Here is a 21,171-nt window from a genome sequence, read left to right as displayed (position 1 = left end):
TTGAGACAGAGTCTCTCTCTGTGGCCCAGGCTGGAGTACAGTGGCGCGATCTTGGCTCACTATGACCTCCACCTCCTGGGTTTAAGCGATTCTCCTGCCTCAGCCTCCTGAGTAGCTGGGATTACAGGCATATACCACCATGCCCAGGTAATTTTTTTGTAGTTTTAGTACAGACAGGGTTTTGCCATATTAGCCAGGCTGGTTTCAAACTCCTGACCTCAAGTGATCCACCTGCCTTGGCCTCCCAAAGTGCTGGGATTACAAGCATGAGCCACGCTCCCAGCTTGTATTCCATTCCTTTTCCCTCTTCTGCCTCATTTTTTTCCCCAGAACAAGCCCACAATGGGGCAGATATAAAATTCAAAAAATCTACCCGTCTCAGTACTAGAAAAAGATTCATTTTTTGGAGAGAAAGGTGCAGGGCAAGATTCTTACTTCCAGGAGACCAGATTAAAATGGCCTGGGGAAGGGAAGAGAGAATAACTCAGAAGCCCAGGGGAGAAATGAGAAATATTCAACACAAAGGTGGAAGGTAGAAGAGACGCTGCTATCACAGGGCAGAAGAGAGGCTAGGAACCAACTTCCTGGAGCTGCTCCTGTCCTGTTCCCCATATCACACACCTCTGTGCCTTGCTTCACACAAAAAATAAGCCATTTTCCTGCAAGCTTTTGTCTTGGGCTCTGCTTCTTGGAAATTCAGACTAAGACAACCTCTCACCACAGGCCACTCATCACCTGTGAAAATCTGCAATTTAACAGTCTGAACATATATAAATTCCACAGAGGAGTGAGGGCCTAATGACTAAGGTGGACAAACAGAGGCAGAGGAAGGATTTTCCTATGAGTGGGACAGCAGTGGGCTGTCCCACCGATAAGAGTGTTTTAAAATAGCCAGGCGTGGTGGCACATGCCTGTGGTCTCAGCTACTCTGGAGGCTGAGGTGGGAGGATCACTTGAGCTCAGGAGACGGAGGTTGCAATGAGCCGAGATCGTGCCACTGCACGCTAGCCTGGGTAACAGAGAGAAACCCTCTCTCAAATTAAAAATAATTTTTGAAAAAGGGTGTTTTTGTTTACCTGGGAGACTTGAGTCACATCAGAGTGTCTAACAATGTGATTTATGGCAGGGGCTTTGGGCCACCTGGTATCTGTTCTACCTCCAGAGCGGCTGGAAAATAAAGGACAGCCTTTAGTCTATGACACACCGTCTGTGTGATCCAGCCCCAGTAAGAACTCTGGACATGAAGACTCAGGTGAGCTTCCCTGGTTGGCAATACTCCGTGTATATTTCAAACATCATTGCCAGGAAAGGTAGTGATGTCCATGACTCCACTGAGAGTAGACAACTGGGAGCTCCATGTTTGAAACTTTCTAGGTGATATGGTTTGGCTGTGACCCCACCCAAATCTCATCTTGAATCATAGCTCTCATAATCCCCACGTGTCCTGGGAAAGACCCAGTAGGAGGTAATTGAATCATGAGGGCGGGGTTTTCCCATACTGTTCTCGTGACTGTGAATAAGTCTCACGAGATCTGATGGTTTTATAAAGGGCAGTTCCCTTGCACACACTCTTTCGTGCCTCCACGTAAGACATGGCTTTGCTTCTCCTTCACCTTCCTCCATGATTGTGAGGCCTCCCCAGCCATGTGGAACCGTGAGTCCACTGAACCTCTTTTTCTTTATAAATTCCCCAGTCTCGGGTATGTCTTTATTAGGAGCATGAGAACAGACTGATACACCTGGACTCTGCCCCATGTGTCTCTTCTTTTCACTGATTCTAATCTGTATCTTTTCACCATAGTAAACCAAAACAGTGGGCATAACAGTTTTGGTGCATTCTGTGAGTGCTTCCAGTGAATTGTCAAACCCAAGGATAGTCTTGGGGACCCCCTGAACTTACAAGTGCTATCAGAATAAAAAATGATCCTCTACGCTGTCAAATAGGACAGACTAGGGAAGCCAACCTGTTGTAGGAAAAAGGGGAAGATGAGTAAACGATATTCTTCTGTCAGATCTAGTTGTACATTTCTTTCTGTGTTTGTTTCAGCTAGATGCCACCAGGCTTGTCACAGAATTCAGAGATTCGTTGTACCTATGACGAGGCCAAAGCATTAGAGATAGATCAGGGAGGTCTCTGTCCTCAATGCGTCTTCACCCCATTGTGGGGTGAAGCTGGGAATCTCTCTTAGGAAAAGGTGAGTTGGGAGGTAGGTGAGTGAAATGGACACTTGGAAGTTTTGACAACTTTTTCTCCATGTGAAAATTGTTCCTCGTTAATCAAACTTGAAAAATCTGAGTAAGCTAACAGGTTTCCTTATTAAACTCCTTTAGGCTGAGGACTCTGTCTTAGTATTTCTGCGTTCATAGCACCAAGTACAATATACAGCATAGGGTAAATTCACGGTCATTCTAATTTTTAAATTAATCATTTGGTATGTAATTTCATATAAGGTAAAAAAGAGGACTTCTGAACTTAATCTGAAAAGATGTCTCAATGTATTCTTACAAGCTCACCTTTGTTTGATGCTAATTTTAATTTTTCTGATTTGATTGAAAAAAACATTTTGAAGAAAAAAGCACCCATAATATCCTCTTATTATGAAAATTTTCTATATTATTATGTAGCCTCCATATTATCTGAAATCCCTGCTGAATATTCTGTATCGTTCATAAATATTCTGTATAGTTTGTAATCAAAGTATGCCTAAAGAAGATAACGCTGGTGCTGTGCAGAAGACAGTTTAGACAGTTGCACTGTTGATCAGGACCCAGTAATAGAGCCAGCAGACAGAAGAACCTGAGTCCTTTAGTCATCCATGGAGGAGAGCCCCACCATCCTGGAATACCCTGCTGGACTGATATAAGCATCAGAAACTCGATTTTTTTTTTTTTTTTGGCTGTTACATCTTGGTTCTGTTTATTATAGTAGTTGAATCTACTCTAATAATGCAAAAATTGATACCATGCTAGCCAGGTGTGGTGCCATGAAGAAGGGTACTGCCATAAGAAAGACCAAAAATATGTGATATCGTTCAGGTGCAGTAGCTCACGCCTGTAATCCCAACAATTCAGGAGGCCGAAGCAGGCGGATCACGAGGTCAAGAGATCGAGACCATCCTGGCCAATATGGTGAAACACCATCTCTACTAAAAATATAAAACTTAACCAGGCGTGGTGGCGGGTGCCTGTAATCTCAGCTACTTGGGAGGTCGAGGCAGGAGAATCACTTGAACCTGGGAGGCGGAGGTTGCAGTGAGCCGAGATCATGTCACTGCACTCCAGCCTGATGACAGAGCAAGACTCCATCTCAAAAAAAAAAAAAAATGTGCCATTGGCTTCACAGTTGAGCAGCAGGAAAGGAAAAAATAGTATGCTATAAATCTGAACATTCTAAAGTCTATGCTGTCAACCACACTGCAGAGCCAAAATAGGGCTTCCTGACTCACTCGCTGTGAATGGTTACAAGTGTGCTGATACTTTGATGCCCTCTGCTTTCCAAGGGAACTCAGAGTTCAAGGTGGCCAAGCTCCCCAGCCTGGCTGCCTCCAGCCAAGAGCAGCCTCGTGTTTACCACTAGTGAGCCATTTAAATACTAAATAAATATAAAGCATTTTTTTCATTCCTTTTGACTGAAAAAGAAAGCAACCTCTGTAAACTCTCTTATAAAACCACTCAGACTTTTTTCTGTCTTGAGTTATATAAATGATTAAAAACCCTAGCCAATTTCAAACTAGTTTCTTCTCCCCCTTTTTCCCCAACTTCCTAAATCAAAGACTGTCAAAGTCAGCATATATCATGAGTCTCCTGTATTAAGTAGATTACTTTTTTTTTCTGCCCTGCTTAACTATAATCACAGGTAGCATGAGAATTACAAGGAATTTCATCACTGAATTTCCTTTTCAAAAATTTACTTAAATCAAGAATTTGTGGTTACCAAGAGTGACAGTAGGAAGTGGGGTAATCCATGCTGTCTATACAAGTAGGGCATATTATTAATGCGCTTTGTTCCAAATTGTGAAAACAGGCCAGCTGGTGAAGACCCAACAACAAACTAAGGCCCAGGTGGGTCAAATTCCAAACTTGAGACATGGCTAAGACATCGATTTTTCTTGGTTCAGTTGTATATTCTCAAGGAGCTCTCATATTATACCTTTTTAAAAAGTGTATGCCTTAAAAAGGATTAAAATGGCAAACTTTGTTATGTATATTTTACCACAATTTTTAAAAAGGTATATGAGACAAGAAGCTTTACTTCTGACCTGCCTATTCCCAGATGCATAGAATATCATAGACTATCAATGTGAGAACCTTAGAGATTGCCTAGACATTTTGATTATTAAGCACTGGATATTTACTCATTTATACCTCAACTTATTTCAGGAAGTTCAAGGCAACTTAAAAGCTATATAAAATATAGTGAGACAGGCCGGGCACGGTGGCTCACGCCTGTAATCCCAGCAGAATTTTATTTTGGGAGGGCTGAGGTGGGGGGAATCACTTGAGGCCAGGAGTTCGAGACCAGCCTGGCCAACATGGTGAAACCCTGTCTCTACTAAAAATACAAAAATTAGCCGGGCATGGTGGCACATGCTTGTAATCCCAGCTACTTGGGAAGTTGAGGCAGGAGAATCACTTGAACCTGGGAGGTAGAGGTTGCAGTGAGCCGAGAACATGCCACTGCACTCCAGCCTGGGCGACAGAGCAAGACTCTGTCTCAAAAAAAAAAAAAAATATATATATATATATGTGTGTGTGTGTGTGTGTGTGTGTGTGTATAGTGTGTATATATATGTGTGTATATGTGTGTGTGTGTACATATGTGTGTGTATATATGTATATATAGTGAGGCAATATAAAATAGAAGTAGTAGGTAAGAACTTTATAATTATTTTGATACTTTCAAAAATTACCATTTTTAAAAGATAATTTTCAAAGTAGGATAGAATCACAACATAAATTCATATGTAAAAATTAAACTGTATATTAATGGGGAAACTGGTACAGAGATTGTAAGCAGTTTAAGGGAGAAGTTGAAAAACAGACATATTTACAGATCAGGAATATTGAAATGACTGTTCAGATGGAAGTAAAACTGTCCTCTTCCTCTGTGGAAGAAGGAAGCCAGTTGAACCTCTACTATACAGGACAGAATTTGCTTGTCCATAGATAAGAAGTATTCTGCGTTGCTACCAATACCAATAATCTACAATGTACAGAGTTACAAAATGGCTTCCACATACTCGAAATCAGATAACCCTCAGAGGGGTGTCCTATAGAGCCTAGACAATGCACAGTTTCCAAAGGGAAGAACAAATATTTCCCTGTATATTAAACATGCCAAGAATAAAGCTAATATAAAACTACATACCAGGTTAGAATAGGATATAATTATATTTTCACAAACACAAATCCAAACTACTGCAAATCTAGAAATTTACTCGCTCTTTTCTTCATGCTTTATTTGTATCAGAATCCAACTGGAAAATTGATTTGCAAGTCTAACCCATGAACTTTATTCGTCTTCTTTTCGTTTTGAGATAGGGTCTCACTTCCATTTCCCAGGCTGGAGTGCAGTGGTGCAATCTTGGCTCACAGTAGCCTCGACCTCCTGGGCTCAAGTGATCCTCCTGCCTCAGCCTCCCAAGTAGCTGGGACAACAGGTGCACACCACCATGCCCACCTAATTTTTTTGTATTTTTTGTAGAGATGGGATTTTGCCATGTTGCCCAGGCTGGTCTTGAACTCCTGGGCTCAAGCAATCTGCCTGCCTTAGCCTTCCAAAGTGCTGGGATTACAGGTATGAGCGACCATGCCCAGCCTATTTATCTTCTAATCCCTGTAATATTCTCATATGTATGAAAATGTTTTATTATATTATTTTGGATAATACTTCAAGAAAGAAACTTTTTTTTCAGCTGTGTGAGCTTCCTCCTCTATTATTTTGGATGTTTTCATCTATTTGTATGGTTTATTCTTTTCATTTTTTAAAATAAAGACTGAGAATATGATGTGCCTGACACTAATGGGATTGGATTAGTTGTCACATCTGGGGAATTGCAGATTTTTGAGAACCCTCTGTAGCATCAAGCTATTGTCAGAAAAGGTGAAATTTAGAGGTACCTTTAAAATTGACTGCGGCACCTCTTTTTTTTTTTTTTTTTTGAGACAGAGTCCTCACTCTGTCACCCAGGCTGTAGTGCAATGGTGCGACCTTGGCTCACTGCAACCTCCACCTCCCGGGTTCAAGCAGTTCTCCTGCCTCAGCCTCCTGAGTAGCTGGGATTACAGGCGCCCACGACCACACCCGGCTAATTTTTGTATTTTTAGTAGAGTCGGGATTTCGCCATGTTGGCCAGGCTGGTCTTGAACTCTTGACCTCAGGTTATCCACCCGCCTCGGCCTCCCAAGGTGCTGGGATTACAGGCGTGAGCCACCGCCCCCGGCCTCGACTGTGGCACCTCTTTATGGGTCTTGGGAGCGGCTATAAATTAAGAGCCAGCCAAAATCATTGGAACTGAACGTCTGCTACTGCCCATTGTTCAAAGCCATAAGGTGAGACCCTGTTGGCCAGAGTTCATTCTGACCTCCGTCTGAGTTCGTATAGCAAAAGAAATGTGTGTAACAGCACAAATCGCTCCTCGGAAAATTCAGGTCAGGGGAGAACCCAACCCTCCAGATTACCAGAAGAGCAATTCAACTCTGAAGATGAATTCAGTTTATCCTTCTGACTCAATTTAAACCCTGGGCTCACATCCAGTCCACCAGGAAAATGGTTTTTTCCCCCTCTCTGGGGACCTCCCTCCTCAGATGACTCCAAGCACCATTAGGGATGTTTATTCAGTACAAAATGGGTGGGTCCTGGATACTACTCCTGAGGGGAGAAAAAAAAGAAAAAAGAGAACAAAAAAAACCTCAGGCTGTCAGGAATTCAATTCTTTTCAGCTACTGCTGATCACTGCCACTAGGTGTCGCTATTGAAAGCTAAGTTATCCACCCGACCCTTGTCCAATTCAATTCTTTTCCTGCTGTTTTCGATTTTTTTTTTTCTTTTTTCTTTTTTAAGACGGAGTCTCACTCTGTCACCCAGGCGGAAGTGCAGTGGTGCAATCTCGGCTCACTGCAACCCCTGCCTCCCAGGTTCAAACGATTCTCCTGCCTTAGTCTCCCAAGTAGCTGGGATTACAGGCGCCCGCCACTACGCCCGGCTAATTTTTGTATTTTTAGTAGAGACGGGGTTTCACCATGTTGGCCAGGCTGGTCTTGACCTCCTGGCATTAAATGATCCACCCGCCTCAGCCTCCCAAAGTACTGGGATTACAAGTGTGAGCCACTGCGACCGGCCCATTTTCTGTTTGTTTTTTGTTTAAGGGACGGATTGAAGAAAGTAAACAATTAAATCTAAAATCCTGTCGCTAAATGTCACGATGTAATAAGGTAATAATTTACAAGAGAAACTTGGACATTTGAGTACATGCTTTGCCTGTTGTGGCCACCTACCTGCTCTAATCTCGGACCCTTACCTATAATTTTGTATATCCCAGGTTTTCATGAAGCAGATGGGGAAGATTGGGAGCACCCATGCTGGGATCCAAGATATTTGACACACTGAGTTATTTGTTCTGAAATTTTCTTTGACTGTCTTGCATCATTCCTTTTTTCAATTCTACTGACTCCTTCCCATAGGCAAGCAAAACATGCTACAATATTTCCCACTTGCAAAAGGGTCTTCCTTTGACTCTGCATCACCTGCAGTTTCTGCCTAATTTCTCGGACTCTATTCACAGAAGAGTTCAAGCGTTGACTATTCTCACTGTCCCCACATCCTCTCCTCCCATTTGCTTTCCAATCAGGCTTTTATGTCCTTTGAAAAACACTTGTTACCAGATCCAATGTTCAGTTGATCACAATCCTCATCCATATTGGTTGTCATTGCCATGGTTGGCCACATATTCCTTCCTTCTGAAACACTCTCATCTGGCTGCACGCTGCTGACTTATTTGTAGCCTCCCTGGGCTCTCTTTCTTAGTCTTGGCTGCATCCTTCTCACCCTCATGATCTCTTGCAGTGGGCGCTCCAGGTCTGGGCCAATGTCTCTAGACAGGCCACGCCCTAAGTGACCTCATCCAGCCCTGTGACTTTCTACCATCTATACACTGTGACTCCCAAATTAATGTCTCATCCCTGACCTCCCCCCCCATTCCAGCCTCCGCATTCAGCTGCCTGTTTGACATCTCTACGTGGTTGTCTAACAGGTGTCTTGAATTTACTATCAGCAATCTAACTCTTGCTTTTTCCCTCAAAACCTGTTCCTCCTTGAGTCTCACCCATTTCAGTAAATAGTGTTCCTAATTCACCCAGTTGCTCAGACCAAACACTGTGGAGCCATCTCAGACTCCTCTCAGACTCCATCCCCAAATCCAATCCAACAGCAACTCCCATTGGCTCCAGCTTCAAAATGCGTTTTTGGTTGTTATTGTTGTTTGAGACGGAGTCTCATTCTGTCACCCAGGCTGGAGTGCAGTGGTGTTATCGCGGCTCACTGCAACCTCTGCCTCCCGGGTTCAAGGGATTCTCCTGCCTCAGTCTCCTGAGTAGCTGGGATTACAAGAACACACCACCACGCCCAGCTAATTTTTGTTTTGTTTTGTTTTGTTTTGTCTTGAGTGGTTCGGTTTCTTAATTATTTTAAGCAGTTGTTTTTTGTATTAAAATACTGCAACTCATATCTTTGGCAAAGTTTCCACTTTCTTATCAGAGACAAAAGCCAGAATAATACAAAAAGTGTTCCTTTCCCCAGTTCCTCAAGCATCACGTCCAACAATTTGGCAGCTGGAAGCTGTTTTTGACAGTTGTGACTTGTATTTGGTGATATAAACAAGATTATAGAGGCACTAAATCATAAATATAGTTTCTTTTTTTTTGGTCATTACTATCATTTTACAAAATATTTAACTTCTATTTTGAACATTAAAATGTCGTCCAGCTTTTTAAAGCTACAATTAACCACCACATTTTTTACAGGACCAAAAAGTTTGTGCTTTAAAAAATGATCATTTAGAATCAATTAATTAGAATTAGGAATGCTTAATGCCTACCTTAAGTGGATACCTAATTGATTGCCCCCCCAAAAATTGTAGTCTCTTTAATGATGTTCAAGTTGCAACATTGAAGCTGCTTTGGTGGTGCTATCTAAATGATAATGTGTTTGCAAATGCCAAATGAAAACTCTTTGTTGGCAGATTGAGCTGTGTGCTGAATTAAACACAAATCAGTTTAGGCATCTTCACTTATCTTATGTCATTGGAAATTATACATAATGTAAACAGTAGAACCCGATTCGCTGATTTTTTTTCCTTAGTTTAATACAAGTGTGCCTCACTTTAAGCAAAATATACAAAATGATTTCTGAAACAGGAGTTTCCTTACTTTTTCAGTTAAAAATATTTGCTTACAGAATTTCTTTAAATAACAAGGCTTCTTTGGCCTGTTTGGAGTATTCAGATTACAGAAATTCATTTCACACACAACTTCTTTGAAATACCTACATTGCATAAAATGAGGCACACAGATACATGTGCCCATTCCATCAAGATTACCTCATTATTTTGTGGTTATTTTATATTTTTCATTTTGTCACTATTAACACTTTAGTATGCCAGGTTCATTCGCTCCCTATTTTAGTTGAGATGAGCTAGTGTTTCTAAGGAGTGTTTCATAATCTCTTGTCCCAAACTAGGTTGGTTTGGGAATCCAGTGAGAGTGACTGAAAACTGAAATTCAAGTCCTGAACATCCTTCCAGAACACAGCCTATCACCTGTGGAGATAACACACAAACTATCTCAGAGGACCCCCACCTGTGGCAGTGAAAATCATGTGAGAGTAATAGTTCAAAAGAAAAAAGTGCTGGGCACCGTGGCTCATGCCTGTAATCTCAGCACTTTGGGAGGCTGAGGTGGGAGGATCACTTGAGCCCAGGTGTTTGAGACCAGTCTGGGCAACATAGGGAGACCCCGTCTCTACAGAAAAATTGGCCAGGCATGGTGGCTCATGCCTGTAATCCCAGCACTTTGGGAGGCTGAAGTGGACAGATCAGCTGAGGTCAGAGTTTCGAGACCAGCCTGGCCAACATGGCAAAACCCCATCTCTACTAAAAAAAGCAAAAATCAGCCAGTTGTGGTGGCACACACCTGTAATCCCAGCTACTCGGGAGGCCGAGTCAGGGGAGAATTGCTTGAACCTGGGAGACTGAGGTTGCAGTGAGCTGAGATCATGCCACTGCACTCCAGCCTGGGAGACAGAGCAAGGATCCATCAAAAACACAAAAACAAAAACCTGGGCCTGGTGGCGCATGCCTGTATTCCCTGCTACTCGGGAGGCTGAGGTGGGAGGATCACGTGAGCCTGGGAGGTCTAGGCTGCAGGGGGCTGTGATCCTGCCCCTGCTCTGCAGCCTGGGCTATACAGCAAGACAAAAGAAAAAAGTTAGTGGTAACAGGATAAACTGCACAACCATATATTATTCCTTCACATTCATGAAGCAGGTCAATCTGAAGCTTGAGGATGACTTCCATTCCTCTAGGTGAATCTATCAAGAAATGCCTTGGTAGAACTAAGAGTGCCAATGGTATCAGCAAGGCCAGTCTGGTTCCCTGTGATTCATGGTAATTCTCAGTATGAATTTGACATGGTCTTCCTACACAGTGCCTATCAACACTTGCAGACACACTGTATAAGCATTTGTTACATTTACTTTTCCTTTTGTCATTAGGTCTTTTATTACAGAGGCCACTCTGCACTCCACAATCACACACTTATACAGCTCCGCCTTGCCAAGCAGTGTAGACCCTCACAGATTTTGGATAGCTATCCTTGCATCGTTCTCCACACCGTGTCCCCAGTGTTGAACTGAAGCAGCTCCTTCCACGTTCCCTGCCCGTTAATTAGCCAGGCCACTGTCCACATTGTCACAAACATTATATTAACAGAAAAACTGGCCCATGCCATATTCCATTATGAGCGATTATTTTTAATTCGATTAAATTCCAATGTTGATTGAGAGAACCTGGTAGAGATTGAATTGCTATATGTACTTTCTTAGTCTTCTTCTTCATATCATATTCTGACCATTTATCTTCTACACCTGGCTGACCTGCATGTTCCTTGTGGTGTAACTTCTACTTGGTGTTTGTGCTTAGCTTCGTTTTCCAATTTAAATTGTGAGATACATTTTTAAACCTATCTAAGAAATAGCCCTGATATTGAAATGGCTTCTGTGGAATCGGTTTGACAGATGTAAGTCTGTGATTCTTTGGCTTTGGTTTTTGTGCCTGTTACAGTTTTACACACATTCATTCAGAGGAAGACATTACCATCAATGTGTTGTTTCTTTTTTCAAATTCCAGTGTGTTTTTAAAGACCTATATTTCACTAAGCAGTGTACTTGTTGAAACTGATGCGAGTGACTTTGTTTCCACATGTGATAGAGCATCAGATACTGGAGTTTGCCAGGGATAGAATGGTTGGATTCAGGAATGTTTAGCTGACTCATTGCAGGAAGTTATCCTGTAATCCCAGCTACTCAGGAGGCTAAGGTGAGAGGATCACTTGAGCACAGGAGGCTACAGTGAGCTATGATCATACCACTCCACTCCAGCCTGGATGACAGAGCGAGACCTGCTAATGAAAGATTTATGTTCCAAAAGCCAGCTAAGCATTTGTTTGAATGAGAAGAGTTTGTGTTTCATGGCAGCTTCAAAGAGGGGGAAACATGAAGAGGAAATAAATGAAGATTATCTCGGTTTATTAAGGACATCGAAAAGGATTCTGATGAACACCCGGTGGAGAAGATGCATAGGGCAATGCTGTGGGGAGGGGCACGGAGTCTCCATCCCCTCTCTGGGCACACCACCTGCCAGTCACCTCCACATGTTCAGCTGCATCCTAATTTTTGTATTTTTAGTAGAGATGGGGTTTCGCCATGTTGGCCAGGCTGGTCTCGAACTCCTGACCTCAGGTGATCTGCCCACCTTGGCCTCCCTAAGTGCTGGGATTACGGGAGTGATTCACAGTGCCCAGCCCAAAACACGTTTTGAACAGACCTTTCTCACCACTTCCACCACAGTTCAAGTCACTAGTCTCCTTTGGTACTGCCCCCAGCTCCGACCCTGGCCACCACTCACAATCCAATCTTCACATGGCACACAGAGTCAACCTTTAACAAAGCAAATCAGAATGGGTCGCTCTCCTGCTGGGAACACTCCAGTGGCTTCCATTTCTATATCATGAAAATGACCTACACATGTCTCACTGTGGCCTGCTTAGGTCTTGTCTGACTCGGCTCCTGATTATCTCTCCTACTTTATCTTGTATGACTCTTTGACCCACTCACTTGACTCCAGCCACAGAGGCTTCCTGACTGTTCCCTGAACCACCATGGAGCCTGTCCCTAGCCACTCCCTCTGCTCAGAATTCTCTCTTCCTTCAGGGCCTGGCCCACATGTGGTCTCATCAGGAGGGCCTCCCTGACCACACTCTCTAAGGTGACATTTTTCCCTCCCCTTCCCTGCTTTATTTATCTTTTGTTTGTTTGTTTGTTTGAGATGGAGTCTCGCTCTGTCGCCCAGGCTGGAGTGCAGTGGCACAATCTCAGCTCACTGCAAGCTCCGCCTCCCGGGTTCACGCCATTCTCCTGCCTCAGCCTCTTAAGTGGCTGGGACTGCAGGTGCCCGCCACCACGCCCGGCTAATTTTTTGTAGTTTTAGTAGAGACAGGGGTTTCACCATGTTAGCCAGGATGGTCTCGATCTCCTGACCTCGTGATCCACCCGCCTTGGCCTCCCAAAGTGCAGGCATTACAGGCGTGAGCTACTGTGCCCAGCCCTGCTTTATTTATTTTTGTGGTACCCATCACCACCTGACATTAGGCTGTATGTTAACATGTTTGTTGTTTTTCTTCTGCTATAAATATATGTTTCATGAGGACAAGACTTTGATGAATGCTGTATCCCCATCACCTGACCAATAGCTGAGATATAAAGGACAGTCAGTAGGAATGAATGAATGAAAAGGCAATATTTCAGCCGGGCGCGGTGGCTCATGCCTGTAATTCCAGCACTTTGAGAGGCTGAGGCGGGCAGATCATGAGGTCAGGAGATCGAGACCATCCTGGCTAACACGGAGAAACCCCGTCTTCTACTAAAAATACAAAAACAATTAGCTGGGCGTGGTGGCGGGCGCCTATAGTCCCAGCTACTCAGGAGGCTGAGGCAGGAGAATGGCTTGAACCTGGGAGGCGGAGCTTGCAGTGAGCCAAGATTGGCCACTGCACTCTAGCCTGGGTGACAGAGCAAGACTCCGTCTCAAAAAAAAAAAAAAAAGAAAAGGCAATATTTCTTTTGGAGATAGCTGGCTGTGGCTGGAGATAGACTCTGGGAACTGGAAGTTAAGACTTCCTCAGGATATTCTGACCTGCTTTCAGTGTTGCTGTGTGTTAAACAGAGCATTACCTTGTACTGACCAGGAATTTTGTTCCTGAGCCTCTAAAGCAGCGGTCCCCAAACTTTTTGGCACCAGGAGCCGGTTTTGTGGAAGACAATTTTTCCATGGACCAGGGATGGGGGGATGGTTTCGTGATGATTCAAACACATTATGTTTATTATGCACTTTATTACTATTATTATTACACTGTAATATATAGTGAAATAATTATACAATTCACCATAATATAGAATCAGTGGAGCCCTGAGCTTGTTTTCCTGCAACTGGATGGTCCAGTCTCAGGCTGACAGTGACAGATCATCAGGCATTAGATTCTCATAAGGAGCTCGCAACCTAGATCCCTTGCATGTGCAGTTCACAATAGGGTTCATGCTCCTATGAGAATCTAATGCTGCCACTGATCTGGCAGAAGGCAGAGCTTAGGCAGTAATGTGAGCAGTGGGGAGCGGCTGTAAATACAAATGAAGCTTCGCTCGCTTGCTCACCCGCAGCTCACCTCCTGCTGTCCAGCCGGGTTCCTAACAGGCCACAGACCAATACCAGTCTGTGGTCCCAGGGCTGGGGACCTCTGGTCCAAAGCCAGCCAATCACTTTCACATATTTCCCACATACTCTCATCACCTACATGCAGATGCTTCCAACATTCTAACCTTCTCAGTCTAACACTTTCAACAATAAACCAACACCAACAGTTACAACATCATCTTACAAAAGCTTTCTCAAAAAACATCCATTAAATGTATTGCATTTAAATATTTAGTTCTTGTTACCAGCCAATTGAAAACAATTCAAAATTACTTTGTTAGAAATTCACAACAGCATTGTTATGATTTCCAAGCTCACTAGTCATTTTTCTAAACTATCACCCCAATTATTTTCAAAGCTTCCTTCCAGGGGCAAATTGATTCTTACAAGAGACTTTCCACCATTCTCCCCAGCACCCTCATGAAGCCATAATGAAATACGGGCCATCTGGTATCCTCTTTCTAGCCACTGTCAGGGCACCTGTGGTGCCCTGGGCAGAGATATCTCCACTGATAACTTGTAACCTTGTAATCTGATAAGATCTCTGCCCATCCACATAAAAAGTTTGATGACCTAGAACCACTGCTAAGATCACAGTCGCTGGTCTGCCATTGCTCTTCTACCACTATGTCACACAGAAAAGGGACTCTCTGTCCCTTGGCTCAGGGATGGGTGCTCTCGGCCAGCGCTGTAACCATCTAATGACATTATTCTTTGAGTATAAGCCCCTTTAAAGGAGTCCTTTACCCTCAAGACACCCCCTCAGGGCTGGGGGAGCTGGATGCACAAAAGGTTTCTAGCTGCACCCCAAGGAGTCCTAAGGAACCGCCCCTCCCCCAACCTATGCATCTGGAGGTTAACGGTAGAGGGATCGATCCCTTTCTCTCTTCTCACCCTAGAGCCGGATCCCATTTCCTATCTCAGGATCTGACATTCTTTGGGAGAGGGAAAACCTGCTTCTTGTTATATAACCATAAGTTGCTTTTAAGCAATAATCAAATAAGCCAGAAAACAAAGTGACAAAAAGTGCAAGCTGCCTCTCCTTGTTTAAAGAGAGAGAGTCAACCACTAACCTGCCAATTTGTAACTGTAAGGTAAGGTGGGATTCACTCAGCCAGAAGACAGACAGCAAAAATTAACTACTGAACCTGGCTTGTTCTTTTGGAAAACAAGTAAATAAAAATGTAGGTGGTTTTCAACATTTTGGATTATGCGCTAATTATCATAGTTGTTAAAAGGATAGGGGGAAAATCTCTTGGGTACAGTTTCCTGCCAGGGGGTGAGATGATATGAGGTGTGGGGAAAGGGGGTCTCCCCAGGAGAAGCATGAGTCTGAATATCAGCTAAAAGGTCAAGAAAAAAAAAAACAGTGTCACAAAATGACTTTGTGAAGGAGTTAGTGCCATTAAATGTTACTATTGCACGCTTTGTTCCTGCCTTAAGAACCTGTTCTAAGGCTTTTCTATCCACTTGTTTTGAAACCTCTGCTCGACTCCGTTAAGTTTAGCACAGCGACATTTTTTAGAAACAGAACAATTTAGGGGTGGGGGAGACTGATGCTAACAGATTTTTATGGTGGCTTATTTATGGTGCAAGCTAATCACCTAAGGCTATTTTCCTTTAGAACACTACCAGGATGACTGGTTGGTATTTAATTATTTACAAAGCTCTTTGCCATTGCTATTTGTTTTTCTTCACGGTCCCCTTATATTGATAGCTTCATATGGGATAATGTACGGGGGATAACGGATGGTTACAGCGTTGGCCTAGAGCACCCATCCCTGAGTCAAGGGACAGAGAGTTCCTTTTCTGTGTGACATAGTGGTAGAAGAACATGAAGTACATAAAGTCAGATGATATTATGTCATTATATTATTATTATACTTCTTTTCTATATCACTGTTATAGCTATTAATCTTTACAGAGAGCAATGTGACTCAAACTATAACTGAGACTTACTCCATGTCCAAAAACCCCCCTAAGAAATGGGGTATCTTCTTAAAACTACTCTCTGACAACACGGTCTAGGACACAAGACCGAAGGGTCTCATAGGATCCCCGCTGGTGCGGAGCGTGTGTTTGTGCATACACATTTGTGAGCACATGCACGTCTTCATCAACTCAAAGTCTTGAGAGAAAGAGGGAAGGGAGTCTGGAAGGTTTCGCCATTACAGGAATGTCTTTGCTGTTTGCTGAGTTGCCACTCATGGCCAGCTGGAAACGTCATCATTAATGTCTTTGACAGTCACTAACCAGCTCATTCCCCACAGACTGTGTTCTTCACAGAAATCGTCTCTCTCTGCTGTCACCTGTTCCACTAATCCACGCGGCTACTAATTGACCTAATGAGCGACTGACAACTCGTTCTCTCTGAGGTGACAGTCTCACCATTCTCCTGGTGGCCTGAGCCTTCATGGTCGGTGGCTCCCTGCCACACCACACAGCGCAGCCTCCTGGGGGCGGTGAGTGACAGTTAAGCTGTCACAGTGCTCCGGGCTGCGCGCTTGAATATTTCACAGTCTTTGCTCAGTGGGACTCAGTCTATAAAAACAAGCAGGCTAGGCATGGTGGCTCATACCTGTAATCACAACACTTTGGGAGGCAGAGGTGGGTGGATCACTTGAGGTCAGGAGTTCAAGACCAGCCTGGCCAATGTGGTGAAACCCCATCTCTACTAAAAATACAAAAAGATTAGCTGGGCATGGTGGCACACGCTTGTAGTCCCAGCTTCTCAGGAGGCTGAGGCAGGAGAATCACTTGAACCCAGGAGGCAGAGGTTGCAGTGAGCCGAGATCACACCACTGCATTCCAGCCTGGGCAATAGAGCAAGACTCCGTCTAAAAAAAAAAAAGAGGCAGTCTGAGCTTTCTCATGCCTCCTGTGTCATTCTGAGTACATTCAAGGCCATGCAGCAGACCCTTGCCTGTTGCTCTCCAAGGCCTGTGAGGGCTCCCCTTGACTGCAGTGCCTTCTGGAGCCATGGAGCCAGAAAAGGATCTTTTACTACCTGAGAAAATGACACCAATCCCTGATCCAAATCAGTGACGGGGGTGGGGCAGGCAGGGGGGCTGGGAGGTTTCTTCCCTCATGTGGCACAGTGAGACAGAGAACTTCTCTAGCAGGTGCCATGCAAGGGACAAAAAGGAGGGATAGGGACTTGGGGGCGGGGACAGCACAGCAGGGGCATGTCCTTCCTTCGTGGGAGGGATGCCGGGCATCTTTGTGCTGGTCAGTGTTTGTACCTTCTCCCTGGGTCCCCTGTGTTTGAGATGACATCCGGAGTAGACAGCATGGGTCCTCAAGGCTGACTCGGCCTCACGCATTCCAGGAGAGAGGTAGTAAGCTCTCATGCCGCCCTCCTTGGCTGGGACCCTGCTGCTAGCCCTAATGGCATCTTTTTGTGAATTAGAAAAGGCTCTGTTTCCCCAAGGCTCTAGACTGTCATCTACTGGAAAGTGGTTTTAGTAAATACACACACAATACAGCCACTAGGATGCAAATGGCACCTTGAGTATTGTGCAGTGTGGTCGGAGCAGGTGGCGGAGGGGACGATCATGAGGCCTGGCTTTGGCGACTTTGGTCAAGATGAGGCCAGGCCAGGTCCCACAGTCCTGCAGAACTAGCATAGGGGCCATGGTGGTAAAGATGTCACCTGGGGCCCAGAGTAGGTAACAGAAGTGGTGGCCTGGAGAGGGTTACGTGTGCAGGGGTCTGATGGTGGCTGGGCTCAGGACCTGGCCACAGTGTCACAGGCTTCTCTGAGGCTGTCAGCATGTCAGCAGAGGAGGAAGGAAGCTGCCTTGCATGTGACAGAGAGCACAGGTGGGGCCGACTTTGGGGGAGCAGCAGTTAGAAATGTGGATTCTGGATCAGGTGCGGTGGCTCATGCCTGTAATCCCAGCACTTTGGGAGGCTGAGGCAGGCGGATCGCCTGAGGTCAGGAGTTAGAGACCAGCCTGGCCAACGTGGTGAAACCCTGTCTCTAGTAAAAATGCAAAAATTAGCTGGGCATGGCGGTGGGTGCCTATAATCCCAGCTACTCGGGAGGCTGAGGTAGGAGAATTGCTTGAACCCAGGAAATGGAGGTTGCAGTGAGCTGAGATCATACCACTGCACTCCAGCCTGGGCAACAGAGTGAGACTCTGTCTCAGAACAAAACAAAAAAATCCAAAAACAAAATTAGTCGGGCGTGGTGGTACATGCCTGTAATCCCAGCTACTCAGGAGGCTGAGGCAGGAGAATCACTTGAACCCAGGAGGCGGAGGTTTTGTTGAGCTGAGATCACACCATTGCACTCCAGCCTGGGTGACAAGAGCGAAACTCCATCTCAAAAAAAAGAGAAAAAAAGTGGATTCTGCAGTGCAAGCAGGGAGAGCTTGTTCATTGCCCCAGAACTTGCTGGGATCAGAAGGGGTGAGGGTTAGGGGTCCCACAAGTCTGCAGGTTGGGCCTCAAGCCAGAGAAAGCCTGTTTGATTGCTGTTGCCATGGTCAGGTGTACCCTCAGGAGGACATGCTAATGCCTGGCACGCCCTTCACTGCTCATCATCATCGCCAAGCTAAAAGGGTTTGACTGCTTTTCTCCTCCTCCTCCAGAACTCTGCTACTCCCCATCTGGACCCTCTCCTCTGCCAGTGTTGCCATACTGATGTAAACAGAGGAAAGACTGGCAAGAAAATAAGAGGCAAGAGACCCCTGTTCTCCAGACCCTTCCAAGGGAGGAAGGGAAGGGAACGGTAGTTGCTGAGCTCCACTCACCTTATAATATCAGTATCTATTTCTTGAACTGTCTCTACGAGCCAGGTCCTTTATATTTCTTTACTTTTAATCCTCACAACAACCTTACAAAGTGGTTCACACAATAATAAGAATGCTCCCCAAAGGTATCTGCATTTTGATCCCCAGAACCTGTGAATATGTTACCTTACATGACAAAAGGGACTTTGCAGATACGATTAAGTGAAAGACCTTGAGATGGAAAGATTTTCTGGATTATCCAGATGGGCCCACAGTCATCACAAGTGCCCTTACAGATGAAAGTGTGAGGGGGGCCGGGCACGGTGGCTCACACCTGTAATCCCAGCACTTTGGGAGGCCAAGGCGGGTGGATCACGAGGTCAGGAGTTCAAGACCAGCCTGGCCAAGATAGTGAAACCCCGTCTCTACTAAAAGTACAAAAATTAGCTGGGCGTGTTGGCAGGTGCCTGTAATCCCAACTACTCGGGAGGCTGAGGCAGAGACTTGCTTGAACCCAGGAGGCAGAGGTTGCAGTGAGCCGAGATCGCACCACTGCCCTCCAGCTTGGAAGACAGAGTGAGACTCTGTCTTAAAAAAAAAAAAAAGAAAAAAGAAAGAAAAAGAAAATGCGAGGCAGGAGAGTCAGGGCCAGACAAAGAACTATGACCACGGAAGCAAAGGCAGAGTGATGTGTGGTGAGAAAGACTCCATCTGCCATGACTGGGTTTGAAGATGTAATGGGGGGCCATTAGCCAAGGAGTGTGGGCAGCCTCTGGAAGCCGGAGAAGGCAAGGAAATACAGAAGGAACATAGCCCCACCACCATCTTGAATTTATCCCAGAGGGACCCGTTTTGGACTTTTGAATTCTGGAACCATAAGACAATACATTCGTTTCTTTTAAGTCAACAGGCTGGTGGTAACTTGTTAGAGCATCAATAAGGAACTGATATAAGAGGTATCCTTGTCTCCATTTTATAGGCAAGAAAGTGAAAACTTGTAAATTTCTGGTAAGCCAGGATTCAAGTCTAATTGTATGTGGCTTCAAAGCCTATACCTTCCCCACACTTTATTGCTGCCTCTTTTAAATTTTTATAACTAATGTCCTTACTGAAATCATCAAATATTTAATTGCACAGCAACTACTTTAGAAAGAATCACTAATGCATACTTCTAAATATCTCTGCTTGCCACAAGTAATTTGTTGATAGAAAAGAAAATATCAGCTGAGCTTGGCCTGGAGAGCTATGAAAAGAAAACTAGAATATCCCAACTTCCCTGCAGAAGCACTTTAATCTGAGAAGACTAGTAAAACCATCACTCTTTAGCTTGCTATTCATTTGGTTAAATTAATAAATTATCCTATGTGCTTTTAATAAAGCATTGGTCATCAAAAGATGCACAACTGTCTTAATCATCAGGGAAACAGAAATTAAAGTCATAATGAAATAACACTCCACACCCACTAGAAGGGTCACAATTAAAAAGACTGGGAAAACAAATGTTAGTGAGGATGTGGAGAAAGTGGACTCTCATAAATTGTTGGTGGATTGTGAAAGAGCACAGCTACTTTGAAAAACTGTTTGGCAGTTCTTAATAAAATTAAATATGCACCTACCCTAATACCCAGAAATTTTATAGACATTTACGTATGAGAAATGAAATAGAGGTCCATAAAAAGATTTATACAAAAATGTTCCGACCAACTTTATTCGTAATAACTGATACTGGAAACAATCCAAGTGTTTATCAACAAGTAAGTGTGATGTCTATACAACGGAATACTACTCAGCAATGAAAAAGGATAATTGTTTTTAAAAAGAATGCACTACTGATAAGTGCAAAAACATGGATGAATCTTAAAATCATGTGGAGTGAAAGAAACCCAGACTGAATGGGCTATATACTGTATGATTCCACTTATATGAAGTTCTACATGGGGGCAGAAACCTTTCATGGTAGAAAGCAGGATAGTTGTTGCCTCTGGTCAGGTGGGGGAATGGGGAATGATTGCTGGGGAGTCATGGGGGAACTCTCTGGGGTGATGGAAATGTTCTATATCTCAATTAAGGTGGTAGTTACATAGGTGTATACATTTGTGAAGACTCATCAACCAGTTTGCTTAAAATCTCTGAATATAATTTGTATCTCGAGTTCTGAAAAAAGAATCAGGAATGGAAACAAAATAACAGCAACATTGAGGTCCTTCAAATAATTGGGATGTGTCAAATTAGGACTTTTGTAAGGCAGGGGAGTGGAGTGGTGGAAAGAGCACCAGGCAGGAACCAGAGGCTTCCTCGGGTCTCAGTTCCTTCACTGCCTTGGAGACATGTATGACTTTGCAGGATTTGCCTCACCTCTCTGGCTCTTGCAGGGCTTAACTGCAAAATAAATGAGTTGCATTAGATGACCTCAA

General features: G+C 44.2%; 1 annotated feature.

Moving 5' to 3' along the window:
- Positions 17,573 to 18,073: an enhancer, noted in NCBI's record as "H3K4me1 hESC enhancer chr7:25098668-25099168 (GRCh37/hg19 assembly coordinates)". NCBI's record gives its function as "activates a minimal SCP1, AML or CMV promoter by ChIP-STARR-seq in naive H9 embryonic stem cells {active_cell/tissue: H9 hESC(naive)}" and the evidence as "EXISTENCE:reporter gene assay evidence [ECO:0000049][PMID:30033119]".

This window comes from Homo sapiens, chromosome 7 (assembly GCF_000001405.40).
Source record: "Homo sapiens chromosome 7, GRCh38.p14 Primary Assembly".
Lineage (NCBI taxonomy): Eukaryota > Metazoa > Chordata > Mammalia > Primates > Hominidae > Homo > Homo sapiens.
Note: the sequence above shows the minus strand (reverse complement) of the source record. Positions and strands in the feature narration are given on the sequence as shown.